This window comes from Homo sapiens, chromosome X, assembly GCF_000001405.40.
Source record: "Homo sapiens chromosome X, GRCh38.p14 Primary Assembly".
Lineage (NCBI taxonomy): Eukaryota > Metazoa > Chordata > Mammalia > Primates > Hominidae > Homo > Homo sapiens.
Window position 1 is genome coordinate 82,656,947 of NC_000023.11, and position 25,958 is coordinate 82,682,904.

A 25,958-nucleotide genomic window follows, 5' to 3' on the forward strand; every position below is an offset into this window, starting at 1 on the left:
TATTCAATTTCCCCTCATTAGTCTGGAACAGTAATATCAGCCAACAACGTAACCTTGTTAGCCTGTTGGCTCAGAAGCATGAAAAGCCCAAAGTGGCAGGGTGGCAGTCTCAATTTCCAGTTCAATAAAATTATTGTTGTGTCTCCTGGTGAAACCATTTCTCCCTCTAGAAATAAGACATATACAACAGCAGAGCATAAATTGGTAAGAACAGGAAGAAAAAAATTGTTAGCGGGTCACTCGAATTAATGGTGACTCATGCCATTCCCATTTCTCCCCTTGATTTCTGAACTGATAAATGCTGTCTGTGAGAGAAACAATGCCCATCTATTGGATGCTGATTTTGGCATATATAGGCTTCTTCATCTCATCCCACAAAGTATTGTAAACTAGCTGGTGCTGTAACTGCAACATCAAAAGGTCATTTCACATTTCTATCAAGCCAGTGGCTTAAGGATAATATGGAACATAGTAAGATCAGTCAATTCTATAAACCTGAGCCCACTGCCACACTTCTTTGGCTGTGAAGTGAGTTCCTTTGTCAGAAGCAATGTTGTGTGGACTACCATGTCAGTGGATAAGGCATTCTGTACCTCCATTGATCACAGTTTTGGCAGAAGAATTGCCTGCAGAATATGCAAATCTATATCCAGAGTAAATCTCTATTCCAATAGGGCCAAAATACTGCCCCTTCCATAATGGAGATGGTCTAAAGTCATCAACCTTCCATCAGGCAGCTGGTTGATCACTCCAGGGAATGGTGCCATATAGGGGTTCTATGTTGGTCTCTGCTGCTGAATGATTGGACACTCAGTGATGACTGTACTCAGGTTGACCTTGGTGAGTAAAAGTTCATGTTTCTGAGCCCATAAATAACCTCAATTCCTGCCACCATGGCCATGGCCACTTTTTTCAGGAGTCCATTGGGCAAGGACAAGGGTGACTGAGGAAAGAGACTTACTAGTATTCACAGAATGGTTCATCTTATCCATCTGATTATTAAAGTCCTCCTCTGCTGATGTCATCTATTTGTAGGCATGCACATAGTAAACAAATATCTTTACATATTTTGCCCACTCAGAAGAGTATATTCTCATTTCTCTTCCCCAAAATTCTTTGTCACCAATTTTCCAATTATGCTCCTTCCCAAGCTCATAACCACATAGCCAAACAATTGGCTACAGCTGTATATAATCACACTTCTTGTCATTTCTGTTTTCAAGCAACATGCACCACCTGATGCACTGCCTGAAATTCTGCCCATTGAGAAGGTTTCTCTTCAAAATTGTCCGTAATAGATGTCCTAGAAATGAGCCATAGTGCTGCAGTTGTCCACTTTTGAATGATGCTTTTATATCATGCAGAACCATCTGCAAACCAGGCCCTAGTATTCTCTTTCTTTGTCAACTGCTAATAAGACACTCTCTATGAGGCCATAAGTGTAGGCTGAGACAGAGAAGGCAGTGTAACAGGAGTGTGAACCATAAATATTTGGGCCACTTCTTTATGTTATGTAGCTTAGTTGTGCTTTTAGGACCTGTTCCGGCATGATCATGTATATCCAATTTCCACATTATGATAGAGTGTTGTTGTGCACACCCAGTTTATGGCTTAGTGGGTCAGATAACACTCAATTCATGAAAGGCAGCTCAGGTTGCCTGGTAACGTGGTGGCCCATTGTCAAGCAATCAATTTCTATGAAGGCCCATTAGCGGGCCTAAAACCATCTCTCAAACAAAAGAATACTTATCTGTGAATAATAGCAGAGTGTTGTACTAAAATCCTTAGGCCTCCCGCTGCTATTCACCTATAGAAGCCTAACAAAGGCTTCAATCAGCATCCCTATCTGCCATTGGCATCTTAAGTACCACTGAATCTGCTGAAGCATATAGCTCCAGTGTCAGAGTAGCTTGCACAGCAGTCTGGACCTGTTGCAGAGCCTTCTATCCTGGGCTCCACTCAAAACTAGCAGCTTTTTGGATTACTTGGTAGGTGGACCAGAGTAACAGACTCAAATGAGGAAACTATTGCCTCCAAAATACAAATAGACTTTCTAAACAATGTGCCTGTTCCTTGGCTGTGGGATGGTCCAGATGCAACAATTTATTATTTACCTTAGAAGAGATATAGTGGCATGCCTAACACCACTGGACACTAAAAGATTTCACTGAGATGGAAGGTCCCTGAATTTTAGTTGGATTTACTACCTTTGACACACAAGTATCTTATCAATAGATACAGAGCACTTGCTACTTTAAGCTCACTAGATCCAATCAGCTTAATGTTATTGATGTAATGGACAAGTGTGATGTCTTGTAGAAGTGATAGTTTTTCAAGATCCCTGATAACTAAATTGTGATAAGAGGCTGAAGTGTTTTTATAACCCTAATGTAGGATAGTGAAGGTGTATCTTAGGCCTTGCCAGCTGAAAACAAACTTTATTTAGTAGATCTTGTAGACAGGTATGGAGAAAAAGGCATTTGCCAGATCAATAGCTGCATGCCAGGTACCAGAAAGTGTGTTAATTCACTCAAGCAATGAAGCCTCATTTGGTACAGCAGCTGCAGTTGTAGTTACCAATTGTTGAAGCTTACATGATTCACTGTTATTCTCCAGAATTCATCTGTCTTCTGCATGGGCCAAATAGGAAAGTTAAACAGGGATGTGTTGGGAATCACGAGCTCTGCATCCCCAAATTGCTTTCATTTGGCCTTTTATATCATAGTAGCCCTTATAACACAGGTCAGGGAACCAATGTGGGTATTCTTCCAGTTTCTAAGTATTCCTATTCCAAGTATGCATCTGGAACTGGGGAAATAACCTCAGTATGGGTTCAGAGATCCACTGGACCCACTGTAAGTCAGACCTGAGATAAAACTCCATTGATTACCTGACTTCCATAAACCCTTACTCTAAGTGGAGCACCACAGTGACATTTTGGTCTCAAGGAATCAATGTCAGTTCTAAGCCACTGTTCGGTGGTTTTTGAAATGTCTAATCATTTCCTTTTTCCCAATGTACAGTTACTCTGGGAAAAGGCTGTAGGTCTCTTTGTAAAAAGATATGAGAAGTATTAACAGTACTGAATAAATTTTCACTTTACTTGAATGTTTTCTATGTATACAGATCAAATAAAAATTTAATAGGCCTTGTAGCTATTTTACTTCTAAGAAAATCATGATTAACTAGCCAGTACCATAGATCTACACAAGTCAGACTATTCTGATTCTTGCTTTACTTCTATCTATTATGATAACTATGCCTGACTTATTTTTGATGGTTGAGTGGGGCCACATAGTTCCTGCCACCCCAGGATCAAACTATTCCCACAGCCTTTAAGTTTTTCAATTGAATGACCACAATAAAGTCTGACTTACAAAGAAAAGCCATTATGGAGATCTTCAGAAATCCTAGGGCTCCTCTCACAAACCTATTTTTCAAAGTTTTGGTGAAGGATATGTCTTCTGGATGCTCCCATTGTGGGTGACTACATTTTAAGTGGCAAATCCACTCTAGCATTCCAGTCTTCCTAAGCTTTTGAATCCCTTCCTAATTTACATTAAATCAAGGGATATCAGGCATCTGCAACTTAACCACAGGGGGTCAGCTTTTGATTCATGTTTCAGCTAACCAACCAAATTTTTATGACATTTTTTAGCTCTATGAGGTGTAACACCAAATGAAGAATCACTATGTGGTCTGCCCATATCAATATATTCACCCTTGTCCAACTTTATGTTTCTTTCACCATTATCCCACACCCATGATATTTGTTCCCACATGTGTTCCCCTCACACTTATTCTTAGAAAACTCAAGTATTTCTTTCATAGAGTAGCACATCCCCTCATGGGTTACACTCTTTACCTCATCTTTAAAGGCCTGCTGGGACTTGAGTCTAGCTATAGGTCTATAAGCAAAGAGGGATGGTGGGGGTGGGTTCTGAGGAAAGTCAGTATTGTTTTGCTTGGCAACTGCCTCAGGATATACTATCACCATTTTCTCAAGCAATATAGAGTTAACCCCTGAGACAGAAATGCAAAGGCCTGTACTACTGTCGGTGATGATGATGCTGTCACAGTGAATGAGGATGAGGGCGGGTAGGTCACTTCAGACAAATAAGAGTAATAAGAATTTAGGAACCAAATGTTCCCAGCCTCATCAGGATTTTCTGCATACTCCCAACCCAACTTACAGGATCTCATTTTTTCCATCAATATATAACTTCACTTTAAATTAGACACACTGGGAGACTGATAATTCAACTTTTATTGTAATTGAGCTAATTGCATGATAAAAGCTTGAGTGTGATTTTTCAGCAAATTCATTTTGGTGGTTACAGGAGAGAAGATTCTCTCTCAGGACACAATTTGACACCTTAGGGTATTTATACAAACTGGAGTCTGAGATTTGAATCCCTGAGTTTATCCTTTTCTTTCATCACCTTATTCAGTGAAATTAGAAGCAACCTACCAGCATCATTATATTTTGTGGTTTTTCACTAATGTTCAAAAATGTCATATACCGAGTTATCAAGTTATTTGCCTTTTTAAGTGGTTTCTTAGGATTATCAACTGCGGATAGCTTATATATCTTATAAACAATTTATAACGTAGACTATCAGTGTCCTCTGAGTCTATTCTTAAAATAAGAATTGCTAACATTTAGGTTAACATTTAGGTTCCAATTAGAAAGCTAATTCCAGAAACACAAAAAAAAACTTCTTAAAAAATTTTCCAGAAAATTATCCTCTCTAGAACCAGTCTTTGGACCAAAATCTGTACTAACCAAGGTATTCTAGAGAGACAGAACCAATAGTAAATACACACACACACACACACACACACAAACACACACACACATGACGATCTTTATTAGGAGAGTTAGCTCATGCAATTATGGAGGTTGAGAAGGCCCATGTCAGGCTATTTGCAAGCTGAAAACAATTGGGTGCCAATAGCATGGCTCAGTCTAAATCTGATGATAAAAGAAAAGTAGCTCAGAGCAGTCCGAGCTATATGAAATATGCAAGATTTATCAGGCAAAGAGACATGAATGTGGGACTTCAGTCATGAACCATAAACCCATGACTGGAGAAAATTTTTAAAGGCATTTTTGTTCTTGCCTTTTTTTTCCTTTAAAAATCCACTTGTAATTGCTGCAAATTGAAGTATATATTCAGGGCAACTTGAGTTAATAATCCCAGGCGGCCATCCTTAAGATTTGAGCTTAAATAAACTCTATACTCAATAATATTTTCTGAATCTAATTATTTAAGGTTAATCTTTTGGCTACCATAAAGGGACCCAAAGTGGTCCTCCAGTGAATTCCATCACTTTACAGACAATCAGAGCTTTGGTATCAGCACAAAAGACTTTGAATCATCGAACTCATCAAAGTCAGCAGGGATCTCTAACTGACTTTAAAGACCCTTTTTTGATTTGCCTCCTTCCAGCTTAGTTGAAACTTCAGACTTCGAGCCATATACATTCCTAACTTGACACGTTTATAATTGAAGCCCTATTGTTAAGTACAAGTTTCATTTGTTATTCCTGAGGTTATACTGATCACAGATTTATGATTTTCACTTTTCTCTGAGGTTAAGGTTTTGTTTTGAATCTTCCGTTAGAGTTTTTTTAAACTTTCTTCACTTGACATTTGGTCAAAAAGGGAAAAAAAACAATCAAATCCTGAGGTTTGGTTCAATTCACAGGTCTAAAACTTTCTTCTTGAATGACCAAAATAATAAAAGACTCTGTGAGGCTCATGAGATTTTTGGTCATTCAGGAAGAAAAAACTCCAGTTAATTGGCTTAAAAAAATAAGCTTTTAAATATGTTAACAGGAAAATGCAAACTAATTTAAATGCACTTTAGTTCACATGATTTGCATAAATCTTTAGTAGATAAGACTACTTAAATGTTTTTGGTTTAATAAAAACAACTGTGTCTTCTGATCAACACAATACCTGTGTATTTTACTTCAGAGTTCTTGCTTAAGGGTGACTCTATCATTCACAGGCTATAAAAATGATTGGCAAACAGGTAACTTAAGATGATGCTGCCAGTGAAAAAAGTCACACTCAGTAAAAAAGATGAAGTGAATTATTTTGAGCCAAATATGAGTAACCAATGGCCCATGACACAGCCCTCAAAAATCCTGAAAATATGTGCCCAAGATGATCAGCCTACAACTTGGCTTTGTGAACCCCAATAATCTGAGACAGGCATCAGTTAATTTAGAAAGTTTATCTGCCAAGGTTGAGGATACACACCTGTGACAGAGCTTCAGGAAGTCCAGACAACATGTGCCCAAGGTGGTCAGAGCACAGTTTGGTTTTATACATTCTAGGGAGATATGAGACATCAACCAACATATGCAAGATGAACATTGGTTCGGTCTGGAAAGGTGGAACAACCTGAAGCAAAGGCAAGAAGACACAAAGTGGGGAGGTGGCAAATAGGTAGATAAGAGACAAATTGTTGCATTCTTTTGAGTTTCTTATTATCCTCTACAAAGAAGGCAATCATATATCTCAGTGAGCAGAGGGATAACGGAATAGAATGGGAGCCAGGTTGGTCTTAAGCAGTTCCCATCTTGACTTCTCCCTTTAGCTTAGTGATTTAAAGGCCCCAAGATTTATTTTCCTTTCACATTCCCCCCCTTTTCTCTTTAGAACTTTTTGGAGAAAGCATTTTAGAAGAAAATGTGTCTCTGGTCCCAGGTTTTATCTGATCTGTTATGGCTAGGATGGTTTATTCCTAGATGAGTACGTCCCGAGTTATTAGGAAAGCTCATTTTTAGCAGGTTGGGAAGTCTCGTGTCCTATATAGAGAAGATAGGGGGAATAAGGGAGAAAAAAACAAAAAATAAAAGAAGAATCCTGGAAAATTGATAAAGGCCACATTACTCTGAAGTCCATACAACAGTAGGCAGGGATGAAAATAGCTTATGTACGCAAATAAGTTGCTGCTATTTTCTTCTGAAGTGTAAGTTGTCTAGCTTCAGTTTGCAGGGATTTACAAAAGCACAGCTTAATCTTTGGTGATTTCAAATTAGGAAAAATGGAGGGGAAAACGAATAGAAGGAAGAAAAAAATGAAAATATCATTTTAAAGTCTTGAGCCAAGAAAAATTATAATTCAGTCTAAACTATAGAAAAGAATAGAATTTGAAAAACAGGCAAAACTAGAAGCTAAAAACAGGTATACTATAGTTTTGGAAACATAATTTTTTTCTCTCAAGTTTCCCACTTTTACTAAAGGCAAATCATGGTAGGACCAGTTTACTTTATTATCATTGTCCAGATTATTTGTATAAAGTGCACCAAGAGTAATTATTTTTCACATAGGCTTTTAAAAAAATTTGGCTTTGATGGAACTTGGTTCCATAGAAGGAATCTCAGATAATGCTTCCTTAAAGTCAAGCCCAGCCATGGATCTGTACCATCAGATAGCTATGATTTGGATGGATTTCTTCTTCTGTTGAGATTACAAGATAAACCTGGGGCTTCCGGACCTGTTAGAAAGTGACATTCTTTACTTACCACAGGTCAGAAACCCTGTACATGGGGCTGTATAGACAAACTATGAGGCTAGTTTTTCCAAGGGCTTTATTGACTCCATAAGTAAAGTTTGATTCCTTAAAGGAAAGCAAACCATTGCAGTCAAAGCCTGGGTAAAATAACCAGTTTCTCCAATTGTGTCCTCTGACAAACAAAACAGATTCTTATTGCACTTATACAAATAACTGTATTGCCATAATTTAAGAATACTCTTATATAGTTTCCAAATTCTTGAGAAATTAAGTAGAGAGAAACAAATATGCTCCAAATTTTGTTCATAGGAGTATAATAAATTTTTAAAAGCTGTCAATAGCTTAAAAGAAAAGTTTCAAGAAACAGAAAAACAAAACAAAGAATCAGCAATGTTTTAAGCAAAATAATCAAAAAGATTAGTTCAATCTATGCAGTTAATTTCTCTTTTGCTTGATATTCATGAACATTTTAGCTCTTCGTGAGTCCTAAAAGTTTTCCCTCTATTCTGAGGTCACAATCTCCAAAGTCATCAGAAACTTGATTCAAGGGAACCTTTTAGAGTTTTATAGCTGATTATAAAACCACCTTCTGAGAAACAAAAGAAGACAAGAATTGTCCATGAATGACAAAATATTTTAGGGCAGCCACAGTCAAAGACATAATTTACTAGGAATTTTTTTTTTACCTCTGTGGCACACAATAATTTAAACATAACAACTATGATTATTACTGATAATGTACACTAAGTCATATTACAACCATAGGAGTTTCCCATAATTTTGGAACACATCCCAGTATCATATTTATACAAATAAAGCCCAAAGAAAACCAAACACCATTTCATATTTGATTATGTTTCCTGTATAATTTTTATACCAAATAAGCCAAATTACGTTATTTTTGGATATCAGGGGACCTGATATCTTAAAGGATTAAGTAGGTCAGAAAAAGACATAATTTATAATTTGATTTTGGAAAGTTTGTAGAGTATCAAAGTTTAAAACACTTGATATTACAAAATAAAATTATAGGTCATTATACAGTCATTTATTTAACCAAAGTGATAACTCGAGGATTTTTAAAAAAAGCAAAAATCTTCATTCTTTGAGAGAGAAGACTTAATTTTCCAAGCAAGAAGCCCTAATAAAAACAGCATGAAGCCAATTAAATGTGTTTTTCAAAATTTTGTAAGCAATCTATAAAATTTTAATCTTAGTCATAGCATATAACTTTCATAAGCCTTTTATAACCTTCATAACCTTTATTAAGTAGTTGGTTAATGCTTCAAGAAAACCTTGTTAATCTGATGCTGGGGTTCATATGCTGGTCTTGCATCAGTGTGCCTTTGACATTAATTATTAATTTATAAAGAAAATGAACTTATTTTATCTCTTAAAATTGGTTCTTACAATCTCACATGACCACCTCTTCCACGATAGTCCCTGGGCCTTAAGGAGTGGAATGGCTTTAATTTCTGGCCCTGTGTCTCAGAAATTCATTTTATTTTAATTGGCTTCTTCTATGGGGCCTGAAGATAAGGTTTTAATTGTGCTCAGTGTTTAAGATTTAGCAGGACTTTGTGTCCTTTATAGACCCAGGATTCAAAGCCCTGTAACTTAAAGTCACAAGTACTTTAAAAGCATATACAGAAAGATACATGGATATAATAACCTTAAATTAAAAAAAATCTTAATTTTTCTTAAGCAAATCAAATTTAATAATATGGCACAGAAATTATTTTGATAAAACTTATAAAAGCAAAAGAAAAAACCTTCTCTAGTACACAGGATATTATGATGAAAGAAAACATTTTCTTTAGACCTTTAAGGAAAAGTGCCTTTTAAAAGGGGAGACAAAGCCAAAAATTGCAAGGGGCAACAAAAGTTCACTGATTATAAGATCTCTTACAATTTATTAAGAGTGAATCAAGCAATTAAAATTTCATTGTTCTAACCAATAATTTAGTGTATAAGTGTTTTTTACATGAAGTTCAATCTCTAGAAATAACATAGTTTCATTTTAATTATAAACATTTCATCATATAAAAGTTTTTTTTTAAATTAATCCTCGTGTTGTGACTTACACAGACCATTCCTGACGTCCTTGGACTTTCTGCTTTGTCCTGAACAGCACTCTTTCTTAAATATCCAGTCATTTTATTTTAGGACTAAATTTACGATACAAAATTCTTTCCCATATAAAATTGTTTCTCTTTAAGCTTTCTTACCCCAAAAACATACCTCTTTATTTTTATAATTTTCTCTACATCTTTCTTATTTCCTGGTTCCTTTACCTTATTTTATATATAATCTTTAAATATGCTTTGAATTAGACAAAACTTGTTCATCTGTCCTAAAAAGAACACACCTTTTTAAGCAAGGGTATTTTCCTGAAATATATTTTTATTGGAAAATACCCAAATAGCAAAATATTTATTATTCTATTTAATATAAATTTATAGTCTAAATTATGACAAGTTTGTCTACAAGTATTTATTACATTTACCTAATTTTTTATTTTAATTGATTACCTAGATTGTTTATGAAAACTGCAATAGTCATTATTTAATGTTATGAAACTGCCATTGCAAAATTATAACTGAGACAGTGAAAAAGATATGACCTAACTGACTCAATTTTGCTTCTAACCTCCAACCTGTCCTTGTTCATTCCTGGACTTTGGGAGGAACTTAGTTTATAGTTTAGCTTTAAACAAAGATGATAACAGTCCTTTCCTAAAACAAACCTCCTTACTCCCTGTGGACTAGACTGCCTAAAGCCTCAAGATTAGAAGTTATGGTAATTTTACTAAATAATTCAAGATGTAGCTATCTTCATTAAAACAATATCATTGTCTTATTAATTAAAAATTACACAAGCAAAGATCATAGTGTCTTGACACACAGAGTATTTGGCAGGGTTAAGTATGAAATTGCTTTATTAATAAATGCAAACAAAAAATGTATGCTGGCAATTCTTAAGACATTTGTAACATTACTTTATCAATAATTTTAACGGTATCTTATTTATTAGAGATTTTACTTAATGTAAACTTGAAAAAGCATTTGACTAGTCTTTTTTTTTCTGATAAAGTATTTGATTTAAGCACTTTTATTTTTCTTTAAGCCAATTACGTAGAGCTCTTTTATATATTTTCAGTAGTGAAACATTGTGTACACAACACATAAATAGATGTATTAGGCATGCCAATAGAAGTACATACTATAGATTCATAATGAACTGCCCCCCTTTTTTTCGTATTTTAGACTTTCAAATTCTTGATAACCTGTTTCACCACCCTAGGCAGTTTTCAAATAAGTAGCCTTAAATTTGCATAGTAAAAGAAACAATTCAGGTGAAAATCATACAGCAAAATTTACATCATAAAATACAGAGAGAAAAAGTCTGGTGGTGCTAGAACAAGATGCTTTTATTTTTCTTTGAGCCAAATCAAACATAAAATTATAGAAATCTGTCATAGGATTGTATAAGGAGACCAATTTTATTTAGAGATGGACTACCTATCTATCTTTTAACTGGATCGCTGAGCTCTGGGCAGAGCCCACACTGAATCCTGGGTCTCCAAAAGTGGAGAATTATTTCGAGGTTAGATCACATGATGCTTTTACACTGCACATATATTTTTTTAACAAAGACTTTTCTAAGTATCTAAACTTCACTCTTCCTTAAAAACCCCAGAGTAGCCTCTTGCAATAGCTATTAATGAAGAAAACAGAATTCAGTCAAATGAGAAGAAAAAATTAACTTTTGTTCAAAAAAATACAAGATCGTAGGAGAGAAAAACAAAAACAAACACATGAAGGCCTTTTACATACAAACACACATGCATGCACACATACACACAAACACACATCTTGGATATTAGCTTTTAATGAAGCTGACTTCTAACCATTGAGCTCCTTTAAAAAAAAATAAATTTCATTACTATATTTCAGCTAGGACAGATGGCTGTTATTTCAGAAGTACCAAGTATCAAACCAGAAAGGCCTTGAATTAGGAACCAAATCTATGCTGTCGTAGTGCAAAAAAAAGAAGGCAGAACTTTAGCTATCGAACTGTAGCATGGGGGGGACAGCCATTGCTTTCGGTATGGCCTGCATAGCAAAAAGGTGTCCTTGTTATGTAAATAAAGCCCCTTATGTAGTCAAAATAAAAAATCTTTCCTTTTTGTTTCTTCTGTGGCCTTTTTTCCCCCTCACTCTACCACATTTTTGTGTGTGTGTGAGGGCAGAATTCAGCCATTTTAGAGGTCTTGTTCCCTATAATTTGGAACGTTCTTTTAGATTTGAGCAAGGTGGATAGAGTTGGTCAAACCCATGGGAAAAGGATTGAAACAACAACAACAACAGAAACAAGCAACTAAAAAAAAAAGTTAAGTAAAACAAATGATCACACGACTTATATGATTACTGAGTACTCTAATGGTAAGGAGAAATTAAGACCAGCTAGTTGTTAATCTTAACTTTAGACAAGACAAAACCCAGTTCAGTAACTGACCTAGGGATGGGTGTTAGGCTTTAGACTGCTCTCTACCATTCTAGAAGCAGGAATAAAATAATAATAAAATAAAATAAAATAAAATAAAATAAAATAAAATAAAAATAAAATCTCATTTTCCCTGTTGGAAGTGACCTCAAACTCCATAAAGGAGTTACCTGCCTTCCACCATTATGGAAGCAGAAAAAATTTGCCTTCCTTGTGTTGGAAGCAAGTAAAACTTCAAAAAAAGATAAAAGGAGTTGTACAGCAAAATAAACTGTAGATCTTGATCAAATTTGGGGAGATAGTAATTCTCGGAGGGGGGGGGTGCTGTCAGACCTCAACAAATTGTCCTATTGATTTGAGCCATAAAGTTAGCTCACGCTGGTACCAAGCACCAATAGTTTTGTCAAAGGTTAGGGCACAGTTTGGTTTTATACATTTGAGAGAGATATGAGACATCAATCAATATATGTAAGAAGACCATTGGTTTGGTCTGGAAAGGTGGGACAACTCAAAGCAAAGGCAGAAAGACTCAAAGTGGGGAGGGGGCTTCCAGGTCACAGATAGGTGAGAAACAAATGGTTGCATTATTTTGCACTTTTGATTAGCCTTTCCAAAGGAGGCAATCAGATATGCATTTATCTCAGTGAGCAGAGGGATAACTTCAAATAGAATGGGAGGCAGGTTCTCCCTAAGAAGTTTCCAGCTTGAATTTTCCCTTTATCTTAGTTATTTTGGGGACCCAAGATATTTTTTAACACAGTATTCTTCAGGAATAAGTATGAAACTGCTTGACCAATAAATGGAAACAAAAATGCTGACAATTCATAAGACATCTCTAATATTATTTTCCAATAATTTTAAAGCCAGTTTATGAAGATTTGGCTTAAGTCACACAAACTTGAAAAGCATTTGGGCTATTGTTTACTTAATTTATGAGTACTCCTTAACTTTAAGCCAATTTGGTAGCTTGTAGCCAAAACACATAACAAAATATGTGTATGTACACATAAACACACATATGCACACATATACAAAGATCCTGTAGCTTTTACTTCAAAACTCTAGCCATGAGATATTAATACAAGCTTGCCAATTTACAAAAACAAACAGAAGAAGGTTAGATTCAAAAAATGATTTTTAACTCAGTAGAAATGTAATAGCAGATTTAAGCAGGCAGAAAGAAAAATATAAAAATAGAGAACTTAGGAACTCTGTAGTTGCCAGGTCAAATTTTGGGCTCTGAATTTTTCCTTGATGTAAGTTGCACATCAGTTTAAAATGTGCACAACAGACCAAAATATGTAATAGAGGAAGTACTGGAAAACCTGGCATGCCCTGAAATTTTTCATTTTACACAAACACTTGCAAGTACAGGCATTATAAAACCAATGGGGTACCCAAAAATAAGTCATTCTCTTTGTTTTTTCTTATTCTCAGACTATTTGTTTCCCATATTTTTTCTGATTTTTATTTATTTGTTTATTAAAAGGAGGAACTGAGTTTTTGCCTAGTGTTTAATGTGGTGGATCAATGTGTGCTTACTGTGTGTGGGACTCCACATTGTATCACCACTGATTTGTTACTGCCCTCTTACATGTCTTAGTTTCTCTCTCAGGAGGTCTAGCACCTCTAAGAGGGATCACAATACAGAATGATCAGCTCTTACATGTTTCCTGAAAGAGCCTTTTTAAACTAATTTTGTTTGCAGTTCCCTGTAGAGCCACTGCATATCATGGGAATTAAGCCCCCCGACATTCCCCACTTGGCCCGCAGTCACCCAGGAATGCCTTTTGTCTGGAAGGAGAAAAATATCCTTTCACTTCAGAGCTAAGGAAGCTTACTCTCTTATTTATCTCTAAAAATGACAGTACAGTTCCTCATGCAAATATGCAAACAAGCCAACTGACCTTAATTTGGGAAGAAAAATCAATGGAGAAGACTCATTAAAATGCAAAATTGAAACCAAACAGGATGCCTGAAGAGGGGTTGTTTGCCTGGTTTTTAGAAAAAGGCAATGGAGAAGATGCTTTAGAATATATCTCCAAGCCAGAATTAAGATCCTAAACAACAACTTCCTAGGAGGATAAGAAACAGCTCAAAATATGCCAAGAACCATCAACCAAAGAAAGATCCAAGTCTCAGAAGGATTTACCAGTTCCACTTGAGGAGAAGCTCAAAGTCAGGTAGGCTTTCAGTGGGCCCCTGCTGGACTTTAGATCAAAGTCTGAGCAACTCCTCCGGCATCCTGAGTCTTTTCTGAGGCCCCACGTAATTCTGTCATTAAATTATAATTGACAAAAATAGTGAAATTGTAAAATATTTGAAGACATTTATTCTGAGCCAAATATGAGTGACCAATGGTACAGCCCTCAGGAAATCCTGAGAATATGTGCCCAAGGTGGTCAGCATACTACTTGGCTTTACACATTTTAGAGAGACCTAAGACATCCATCAATACATGTAGGATGTACTTTGCTGTGGCCCAGAAACTCAGGAAAACTGGAGGTGGGGTCTTCCAGGTCATAGGTAGATTCAAAGATTTTCTGAATGGCAATTGGTTGAAAGAATTAAGTTACTGTCTAAAGACTTAGGATCAATAGAAAGAAATATCTGGGTTAACATAAGGGGTTGTGGGGACCATGGTTTTATCATGCACATGAAACCTCCAGGTAGCAGGCTTCAGAGAGAATAGATTGTAAATGTCTGATATCAAAATTAAACACTCTGTTCTATCAGTCTTAAGGTCTGTGCTGATGTTAATGCTGGTCAGGTTTTTCTTAATTCCAAAAGGGAGGGGGGCATAATGAAGCATATATGACTCTCTCATTCCCATCATGGACTGAATAAGTTTTTCAGGTTAACTTTACAATGCCCTTGGCAGAGAGGACAAGCCCATTCAGATGGTCAAGGGGGCTTAAAATTTTATTTTTGGTTTACAGTGACTTTCTTTGTTTAACGATTAAAACACAATGGTCAGAAATCAATAAATCATTTGAATGAAAATTGAATAAAAGCTATAAATGATCTTTCCATAGTTTGTTTTTTTAAAACTTTAAGTCATGCTATGTTAAATTAAGTAACAGATCATAATAACATTTCTGAGTCATTTATATTGTATAGAAAAGCTAACTATATTTAAATCTGTTCATAAATTGAAAACAACATCTTTCTAAAAATTATGAAATGGTTTACATCTACCAATACTGGTATGAAACTGTTCAAAATTACTTGCTTCTTAGGTTCTTAACTGTAAATTAGGATTATTAGGGGTTTATATTGAAGTTTATATATAATTAAAACTATTAGATATAATAGAAACAATTCTATATACAGAGTAAATAAAAAAGTAAGATGCATTTTTGATTAAAAAAGCTAAAAAGGGTATCATTTTTCTCTTACATTAGAGAAAAATTTGTGTGGTAAAAATAACAAAGAGAAAAAATATTTTTTGCCTAAATTGTCCATATATATTAAAATATATACATGACAAAATAAAAGTTTAAGCAAGTTGTAAAAGGTTTACAGAAAATTAATCTCATGAAGGAAATTATGTGTGATGAAGTTCACTAAAATTAGAAGGGAATTATTTATAAGTTCCTATGAAAATTGAGCAATAATATCAAAATACACAAATGCAAAGCCATAGTCTTTGCCCCTGTGTCAGAACAACAGAGGTTTTTAGATCATCGATCTGCTTTTTAATTTAATCATTTTAAGAGGTTGTTAAAGGCTTATGAAAATTTTAACTCCTGTGCTCAAAGCTGACTTAAATTTGATGGATTTCTTTATCAGGTATTATTAAAATTAGTTTCCATATAGATATACACTAATATAAATGTAAAATTTGGTTTTCTTCTTTGCATAAGAATTTAATGTAGTATTAATAAGATATAGTAAAAGATTTGTTTAACTTTTGAGTAAATGACAGAAAAGGCAGGGAAAAGTTTGCATCATACTGTCTTTTTTAGGATTCTCAATTGCAAACAGTCTCTTCTCTATCAAAGAATAAAAGTTTTCACTTTATGAAATCTTTACATAATAATGTTCGATAAATAAATGACAGTTATATTCAGTGATCTGTGGTTCTATTTTAATCGTGTATTTTAGAACTTTTTTATTTTAACATTAATTTAAATATTTAATATTTGACATACTACCAAAAATTAAATTTCAAATTCTAAAATGTAGTCGTATTGACCCAAGCTAACTTGGACATAACAAGAACCCCTGGGTGACCAAGAGATACATACTAGACTTATTCAGTATGTTAAAATCATATGGAAAGACTTGTCAACTTGTCAATTAAGAAATGGTGTTTTGCCGGGCACAGTGGCTCACACCTGTAATCCCTGCACTTTGGGAGGCCGAGGTGGGTGGATCACGAGGTCAGGAGATGGAGACAATCCTAGCCAACATGATGAAACCCCGTTTCCAGCAAAAATACAAAAATTAGCCAGGTGTGGTGGCGTGCACCTGTAGTCCCAGTTACTCAGGAGGCTAAGGCAGGAGAATCGCTTGAACCCGACAGGCGGAGGTTGCAGTGAACCGAGATCATGCCACTGTACTCCAGCCTGGGTGGCAGAGCGAGACTCCACCTCAAAAAAAAAAGGAAATAGCATTCAACTTTCTTTGAGTTAATTTACATAAATGTGTAATCAACATGTGTTCCAAAATTGTAGGAAATTCCTAAATTTCTGATATGTCTTGATATATGTCATCAGTCATAATTATCATTATTATAGTAAATTGATGTATGCCCCAGAAATAACCAAATTCAGTCTTAAATTGTGTCTTTAACAATGGCTATTTTAAGCCACTTGTCATCCACAGATAATTATGGTTTTTCTTTAATTCTTATCAAAATTCAGTTTATAATCACCTTCAGTCCAAAATTTTCTTTTTCTTTGAAAAAATTTGTGAAAAGGACTCTGGCAATTATTCATGAATATAGGTTTCTGATAACTTACATGAAACTAAACTGATAGAAAACTGTAATCCTTTTTATAACATTTTGTGTAAAATATTGCTGATTCATTTTATATTTTGTTTTCCAGAGTCAAACATTTTTCTTTTGAGCTACGTATAGCTTACAGCAATTGAGTAAAGTATATTTTGTGAGAAAAGTTGAAACATTTACCTTCCTCTCTACCTGAATTTTGCAAAATTTGGAAACTATTCATGAGTATTCTTATATTGTGCCAATCTAGTTATTTAAATACGTTCAATTAAATCTGTTTTTTTTTTGTAATAAAACACAATTGAAAACACTGGTTATTTTACCAACACTTTAACTGGAATGGCTTATTTTCAGATGCTAATGAACAGATTGCTTTGAGAAAATGAGGTTGACTTTGAAATAGGAAATTTTCCCTGACCTCTTCCCAGGGTGTAGGGGAGCTGGAGCGAAGTCACTAGGGCTAGCTGGCTGCTTAGGCTGGCTTCACTCACTAGGATCCACCCCTCAGGCAAGGGGAAGTGCAGCTGAGTTGTTGCAGGAGCCAAGCCGAGGTGAGTACTTCTGGGCACTGACAGGAGCAAACTCCATGCAGGCCCCGTGGTAGTGTCTTAGGGGAGCACCTTCAACCCCTAAAGCCCCAGAAGGAGTGTTAAAGTCAGCACTCTTTTAGCTTTGGCATCTGTGGATGGCTTAAGTGTTTAACAGCTTGGTGGACCCTCTGTCTTTTCACATGGACAGAGGATCAGTGTGACAGCCTTCTGCATCCTGAGCTCTTGTCTGGTGTCCAGAGAAAATCAGGTCACATGAATAAATTGAAGGATAGTAAATGCAGGGGATTTCACTGCCAATGGAAGTGGCTCTCAGTGGGAAGGGAAACTGGAAAGGAGATTGAGTGGGAAGGTATTCTTCCCCTGAAGTCTGGTCATCTCTGGCCAGACACTTTCTCAAAGTCCCACCATCAAGCCATCCCTCTGATGTCAAGCTGTTTCTCTCTGATGTCCAGCTGCTTCTCCTCTCGATGTTTGGCCACTTCTTCTCTCTGCTGGTGTGATCTTGGGAGTTTTTATGGGTACAGTATGGGGGACAGGGCAGGTAATGGGTGGTTTTGGAAAATGCAGCACTCAAGTGGGAACACAGAAATGCATTTTCTCACTTTGGGCTGTAGTTCCAGGCTTGAGAGTGGGGTCTTTTCTGCCTAGAAATTATCTGCCTCCTGTCTCTAGCAACTTGACTTTATAGAACCAATAAAAAGTCCTTTGAAAAGACTGGCCTGTTACCATGTCTATGTGCTTTCTTTATAAGCTTCCTGATCTTGCAGTAAGTGAAAAGTATTACTTCCTTACAATCCCAGGACACTCAAGGTATTTTGGGATCTTGAGCAGAGATAAACTCATTCAAATTATACAGGCATTCCAGGCACAGTCTCATGGTAAATTCTTGGCTTGGCTTCCTAACCTTGAGAGGCTTTTAAAAGTCTAATCTGAGATTCTTTATCAAAAATTTCCAGCAAAGCCAACTTAAAACTTATATGATCATTCAGCATTCTTTTTGCACTTTATGCAAATAATCAGGCCATGTATAATACTAAAACTTATCTTGCAAGTAAATTGGCCCTACTAAGATTCAACTTTGGTAAAAATGGGGAACTGGAAAGAGAAGCACTATGTTTCATAAAAAAACTATAGCACACTTGTTATTATTAGGTTCGTGCAAAAGTGATTGCAATTTCTGCTATTAAAATTAACAGCAAAACCTGCAATTACTTTTGCACCAACCTAATAAATTCCAGCTCTGACCATTGTTTTTGAGCTTTTATTACTTTCCTACAATTTTGACTAAATTCAGAATTATTTACTGGCTATATCATTGCTCTGAAGAAGAACCAGGTTTTAATTTTCTTCATGATGTTCTTAATTGACTCTCCAATGAAATACTTTTAGTTCTAGTGTACACATTCTCCTTTTGATTATAATCCTTATATGTAGTATAGTTCTACTATGTATCTCTCATTGTTTTACTTGTGAGAAACCTGAACTCATGGTATTCCAAAGACTAGAAATATTTCAACAAGAGACAACAGCTATATAAATCAGTGACTTGAATATGGTCTAATTTATGCCATCCTGTGATGCCTTCCCAATTTGACTTTTGGTTTCCATACAATTGTTCACTGAGATGTATCTGTTCTCCTTGCCCCATGTAGTAAAGGATCTTCTGGGAAAAAGCCTTCTTAGCAATGTGAGACTAAATTCCTGGACATAAAAGGCCAAAATCATTTGAGTTTTTCTATGATTTTTTTCTTCTAAAGACCTTGATTAAAATGGGAAAAATGAGAAAAGAAAAATAGCTCGGAGAAGTCTGACCTATGTGAGGTATAAAAAATTTATTAGGCTCAGAAAGACGTGTATGGAACTTCAGCCATTCTTCCCCACACCCCCATGCCCAGAAGCAATTGTTTAAAGGTAATTTTTGCCTAATTGCCTCATATATTATCTTCATGTTCCTGGAATTTGCAATTAAAACGACAAGGTATGGCCAATCAATAGATTATGCTATTTTAATGTAAATTTTTGACAAACAACTTGAAAATCACCTCTTCTTTTTCTTTAATACCCCACTTGTAACTGCTGCTAATGCTATGCCCCCTTGTGGTCATTCTCAATCTTTTAGCTCAAATAATCTGTATAATTTATAATATTTTCTGTATTTCATTGTGTAACCTTGACACTAAGTGCCTAAGAACTAGGGTAGCGGATGTTGTGATTCTCAGTCCAAGGCCAAAGGCCTGAGAACTCATGGGTCTGCTGGTGTAAGTTCCTGTGTCCAAAGGCCACAGAGCCTGGAATTCTAATATTTATAGCTAGGTGAAGAAGAGTGTCATAGCTCAAGGAGAGAGAAAAAAGTTGTTTCTCCTCTGACTATTTTGTTCTATATGGGTTTCCAGCTGATTGGATGATGCACTCTGACATTGAGAAAAGATCTTCTCCATTCATTATACTGAGTCACATGCCAATCTTTTCTGGAAAGAATGTAGCATACACACTCAAAAATAATGCCTTAGGTATTCCTTAATCCAGCCAAATTGACACCTGAAATTAACTATCACAGGTGCTTTTAAAAGATTTACTCAGACTCCGTCTAGATCAATTAAATTGGAATCTCTGAAGCCTAGTGCCTGGGCATTAATATTTTTATTAAATCTCTTGGAGTAAGCCTAATGTACACACAAAATTGAAAACCACCACATCTAAGTAAGTCTGCAAATTTGTCAAAATTGCTTATTTTCCTAGGTCCCCAGTGTTCTCCTTCTCTAGGTCCTTCTGGTCACCTGGTAAACAACCAGATTAATTAATTTTGGAATAAACCATCTAAAAATGAAACTCAAACGGTAAAAATTATAGCACTGTGAGATCAGGGTATGAAACTATACTGATATACCCTAAAGCACTACACATCAGACTTTCGAAGCTCAGTTACTTCTCTGGTGCTTCTTAATCTTGTCATCCAAATGAGTCACTGTCTTATCTGTCTATGTTTAAGAACCCAGGCCATAAGGAAAATAACTGGTAAGCCACACTGTTCTACTCTGATGCAAGGGAGGTATCCTCTGCTGCGGAGTTGTTCTGTCTAAGTCAGTTGCAAGCATTTTTTTTTAGATAAACTTTATTTTTAGAGCAGCTATGTGTTCAGAGTAAAATTGAGTAAAAAATACAGAGATTTTCTATAAACTTCTTGCCCCCTCAAATGCACAGCTTCCCTACATTATCAACATCTTTCATCACAGTGGTGCATTTGTTACAACTGGTATAACTCCACTGAGACATCATTATCACCCAAAGTTTATATTTTACATTAAGATGTTGTACATTCTACAAGACTTGACAAGTATATAACACATGTATCCATCTTTATAGTCTCATACAAAGTGTCTTCACTTTCCTAAAAATCTTCTGTGCTTTGCCTGTTTCTCCCTCTCTCCCTGAAATCCTGGCAAATCTGATCTTTTTACTGACCCATTAGTTTTGTTTCTCCAGAGTGTCATATTGTTGGAATCACACTTTTTGGAATTTTCAGGTTTTTTTTCTTTTTTTTTTTTTTTTTTGAGACAGAGCCTTGCTCTGTCACCCAGGCTGGAGTGCAATGGCGCAATCTCGGCTCACTGCAACCTCCACCTCCAGGGCTCAAACTATTCTCCTGTCTCAGCCTCCCGAGTAGCTGGGATTACAGGTGCCTGCCACCATGCCCAGTTAATTTTTGTATTTTTAGTAGAGATGGGGTTTCACCATGTTGGTCAGGCTGGTCTTGAACTCCTGACCTCAGGGATCACTGTCCACCTCGGCCTTCCAGTGCTCATATTATAGGTGTGAACCACTGTGCCTGGCCTTCAGATTATTTTCTTTTGTTTAGTAGTATGTTTTTAAAGTTTTCTCCATTTTTTTTTTCATGGCTTGTTAGATCATTTCTTTTTGGTGCTGAATAATATTTCATTGTCTGAATGTACCACAGCTTATTTATTTGTTTATTTAGTTAATTAATTTATTTATTTTGAGATGGATTCCCATTCTGTTGCCCAGGCTGGAGTGCAGTGGTGCGGTCTCGGCTCACTGCAACATCTGCCTACCGGGTTCAAGGGATTCTCCTGCCTCAGCCTCCTGAGTAGCTGAGATTACAGGCACCTGCCACCACCCCCAGCTAATTTTTGTATTTTTAATAGCAATGGGGTTTCGCCATGTTCATCAGGCTGGTCTCAAACTCCTGGCCTCAAGTGATCCACCCTCCTTGGCCTCCCAAAATGCTGAGATTACAGGCATGAGCCACTGTGCTCAGCCTACACAGCTTATTTATTTATTCAGCTACTGAGGGACATCTTGGTTGCTCCCAAGTTTTGGCAATTATTAATCAAATTGCTACAAATAATTATATGAAGTTTTTGTTGTGTATGTTAGTTTTCAACTTATTTCGGTAAATACCAAAATGTGCAATTGCCAAATGGTATGTGCTATAGACTGAATGTTTGTGTCCCCTGACAATTAATATGTCAAATTCTAATCCCAATGTGATGATATTTAGAAGTGGGACCTTTGGGAAGTGATTAGGTCATGAGGGTGGAACCCTCATAAATTGGATTAATGCCACTATAAAAGAGCCCCCAGAGAAGAGTGTGTGTTGGGGAAATGTGAGGAGAGGCAGGCTAATGAGTACAAGCAACTAGATGGAAGGAATAAGTTCTAGTGTTTGATAGCACACTAGGGTGACTATACTTAACAGCAGTATATTGTATGTTTCTAAGTAGCTAGAACAAAGACTTGAAATATTCCCAACACAAAGAGATGATAGTTGTTCAAAATGATGGATATCCTAAAAGCCCAGATTTAATCATTGCATATCCTATGAACATATCAAAATATCACAGGTATCTCAAAAATATGTACAAATATTATGCATCAATTTAAAAATTTTAAAAGACCCTTGAGAGGTTACTTGCCCTTTCTGCCATCTGAGGACACAGCAAAAAGATGGTCATCTATGAACCAGGAAGCAGACTCCTAGAAGACACAAAAATATGCTAGCACCTTAGTTTTCGGAACTATGAGAAATAAATACTTGTCTATAAGCCACACAGTATGAAAGTCTATTATATCAGCCCAGAAAGACTAAGAGTATGGTAAGAGTATGTTTAGTTTTGTGAGAAACTGCCTGTCTTATAAAGTGCTTGTACCATTTTGTATTCCACCATCAATGAACAATAATTTCTTTTGCTCAACATCCTCACCAAAATTTAGTCGATGTCCTGGATTTTCCATATTTTAATAGGTTTGTAATGGTATCTCATTGTTATTTCAATTTGCAGTTTAATAGTAATAGTGATGTTGAGCATCTTTGCATGTGCTTATGTGCCGTCTGTATATCTTCCCTTGTGATGTATCTGTAGAGGGATTTCACCCGTTTTATAATCAGGTTGTTAGTTTTCTTATTGTTGAGTTTCAAAGGGCATTTATATATTTTAAATAAGAGTGTTTTATCATATATTTTTTCCAAATATTTTATCTTATTTAGTGGCTGACCTCTTCTTTTCTTGTTGTCTTTTATGGAGCAGTTTTTAAGTGAAGTCCAGCTTATCATTTCTGTCATAGATTATGCTTTTGATACTTTATCTGGAAAATTATTGCCAAACACAAGGCCTTCTATCTTTTCTTTCTTTCTTTCTTTCTTTCTTTCTTTCTTTCTTTCTTTCTTTCTTTCTTTCTTTCTTTCTTTCTCTTTCTTTCTTTCTTTTTCTTTCTTTCTTTTTCTTTCTTTCTTTCTTTTTCTCTTTCTTTCTTTCTTTCTCTTTTTCTTTCTTTCCTTTATCTCTCTCTCTCTCCTTCCTTCCTTCCTCCCTCCCTCCCTCCTTTCTTTCTCTCTCCCTCCTTCCCTCCTTCTCTCCTTCCTTCCTTCCCTCCTTCCCTCCCTCCCTCCCTCCTTCCTTTCTTTCCCATTCTGTTGCCCAGGCTGGAGTGCAGTGGCACAATCTCAGCTCACTGGAATCTCCACCTCCCGGGTTCACGCGATTCTCCTGCCTCGGCCTCCTGAATAGCTGGTACTACAGTTATTATTAACCCTTAATAATCCTAATTTCCAGTTAAGAACCTAAGAAGCAAGTAATTTTGAACTGTTTCATACCAGTATTTGTAGATATAAACCATTTCATAATTTTTAGTAGAGATGGGGTTTTGCCACGTTGGCCAGGTTGGTCTCAAACTCCTGATCTCAAGTGATCTGCCCACCTATGCCTTCAAAAGTGCTGAGATTACAGTTGTGAACCACTTTGCCCTGCATAGATTTTCTCCTATATTATCTACTAGGGACTTTACAGATTTGTGTTTTACATTTAGTTCTATAATTTTTTTGAGTGAATTTTGTGACGGATGTAAAGTCTGAGTCTAGATTCTTTTTTTTTTCACATGTGGATGTCCAGTTGTTCTAGCATCATTAGTTAAAACATTTATCTTTGCCCTATTGTATTGCCTTTGCTTCTTTTTACTGAGACAACAACTATTAATCAAAATAATTGTTTTTCCCAAGCTTTATTGAAGAATAATTGCCAAATAGAAGTGTTATATAATTAGATATACTTTAAGCTTTGATATATGTATATGTCGTGAAATGATTACCAGAATCAAGAAAATTAGCATATGCATCACCGCACATGGTGGTAAGAACAGTTAAGATCTACTCTCTTAGCAAATTTCAAGTATGCAATACATTATTTTTAACAAAAGTCAGCATACCACACATTACATTACTAGAAGCTATTTATCAACAATAAACTGCCAGTTTGTACTCTTTAACCAATGTATTCCTAATTCCCCAATCATTATCCCAGCAAACAACATTGTAAATTCTGCTTCTATGAGTTCATCTTTTTTAGATTCTACATATAGGTAAAATCATGCATTATTTGTCTTTCTATGCCTGGCTTGCTTTACTTTGCATAATGTTCTTCAGTTTCATCCATCTTGTCACAAATGGGAGAATTTCCTCCTGTTACTATTTTTTTCATGCATTTTACTTCCTTTGGCTATATAATTAGGGGTGAAATAGCTGGATCAGAGGGTAGTCATTTTACTAATTTTTGGAGAAACTTTTATAGTGTTTTCCATAATGGCTGTACCAATTTACATTCCCACAAACAATGTACAAGGGTTCCCATTTGTCCAAAAATTTACAAGTGAGATTTAGTTAATCTAAAGAGCTTTTGCACAGCAAGAGAAATTTTTAGCAGACTAAACAGACAACTTACAGAATGAGATAACATATTCACAAACTATATGTCTGACAAAGGTCTAATATGCGGAATCTATAAGGAACTTAAATAAATTAACAAGAAAAAAACAGCCCCATTAAAAAGTGGGCAGAGGACATAAACAGACCCTTCTCAAAAAAAAAAAAAATACAAGCAGCAAACATATGAAAATGTGCTCATCATCACTAATCATCAGAGAGATGCAAAGCAAACCACAATGAGATACCATCTCACACTAGTCAGAATGGCTTTTGTTATAAAGTCAAAAAATAACAGATTTTGGAGAAGGTGTGGAGAAAAAGGGACACATATATACTGTTTGTGGTAATGTAAATTCGTCCTGCCACTGTAGAGAGCAGTTTGGAGATTTCTCAAAGGACAAAAATTTGAACTTCCATTTAACCCAGCAATCTCATTACTGGATATATTCCCAAAGGAAAATAAATTTTTCTTCCAAAAAGACACAATCACCTGCATGTTCATAGTACTTTTTGCAATAGCAAAAACATGGAATCAACCCAGGTACTCATCAACAGTGGACTGGATAAACAAAAGGTGATAAATACACATCGTAGAATACTATGTCACCATAAAAAAGAAAAAAAATATTTTCTTTGCAGAAACATGGATGTAGCTGAAGGCCATTATCCCAAGCAAACTAATGCAGAAATAGAAAAGAAAATACCACATGTTCTTATAAGTGGGAGCTAAACATTGGATAGATAGACATAGTGATAGGAATGGTAGACACTGGGGGAAGCTAAAAGGAGGGAGAGGGAGGGGGGCAAGAGCTGAAAAACCACCTGTTGGATACTATGCTCACTACTGGGTGACGGGTGCAGTTGTACCTCAAACTTCATCATTGTGCAATATACCTTGGTACTGCACATGTACCCCCGATTCTAAAATAAAAGTTGAAAAAAAAGAACCTCCCTTTGTCCATGTCCTCACCAACACTGATTATTTTTTATCTTTTTGATAATAGTAATTCTAAGAAGTATGAGATATCATACTATTTATTGTTTTAATTTACAGTTTCCTGGTAATTAGGGATGTTGAACATTTTTTTTTTATATACCTGTTGGCCATTTGTACTTCTTCTTTTGAGAAATGTCTATTCAGGTCCTTGTCCTATTTTGTAATCATGTTATTTGTTTTCTTGTTTTTGAGATGACTG

At 35.8% G+C, this 25,958-nt stretch overlaps 1 annotated feature.

The window, feature by feature from the left end:
- Positions 1,481–2,038: an enhancer, noted in NCBI's record as "OCT4-NANOG hESC enhancer chrX:81913876-81914433 (GRCh37/hg19 assembly coordinates)". NCBI's record gives its function as "activates a minimal SCP1, AML or CMV promoter by ChIP-STARR-seq in primed H9 embryonic stem cells {active_cell/tissue: H9 hESC(primed)}" and the evidence as "EXISTENCE:reporter gene assay evidence [ECO:0000049][PMID:30033119]".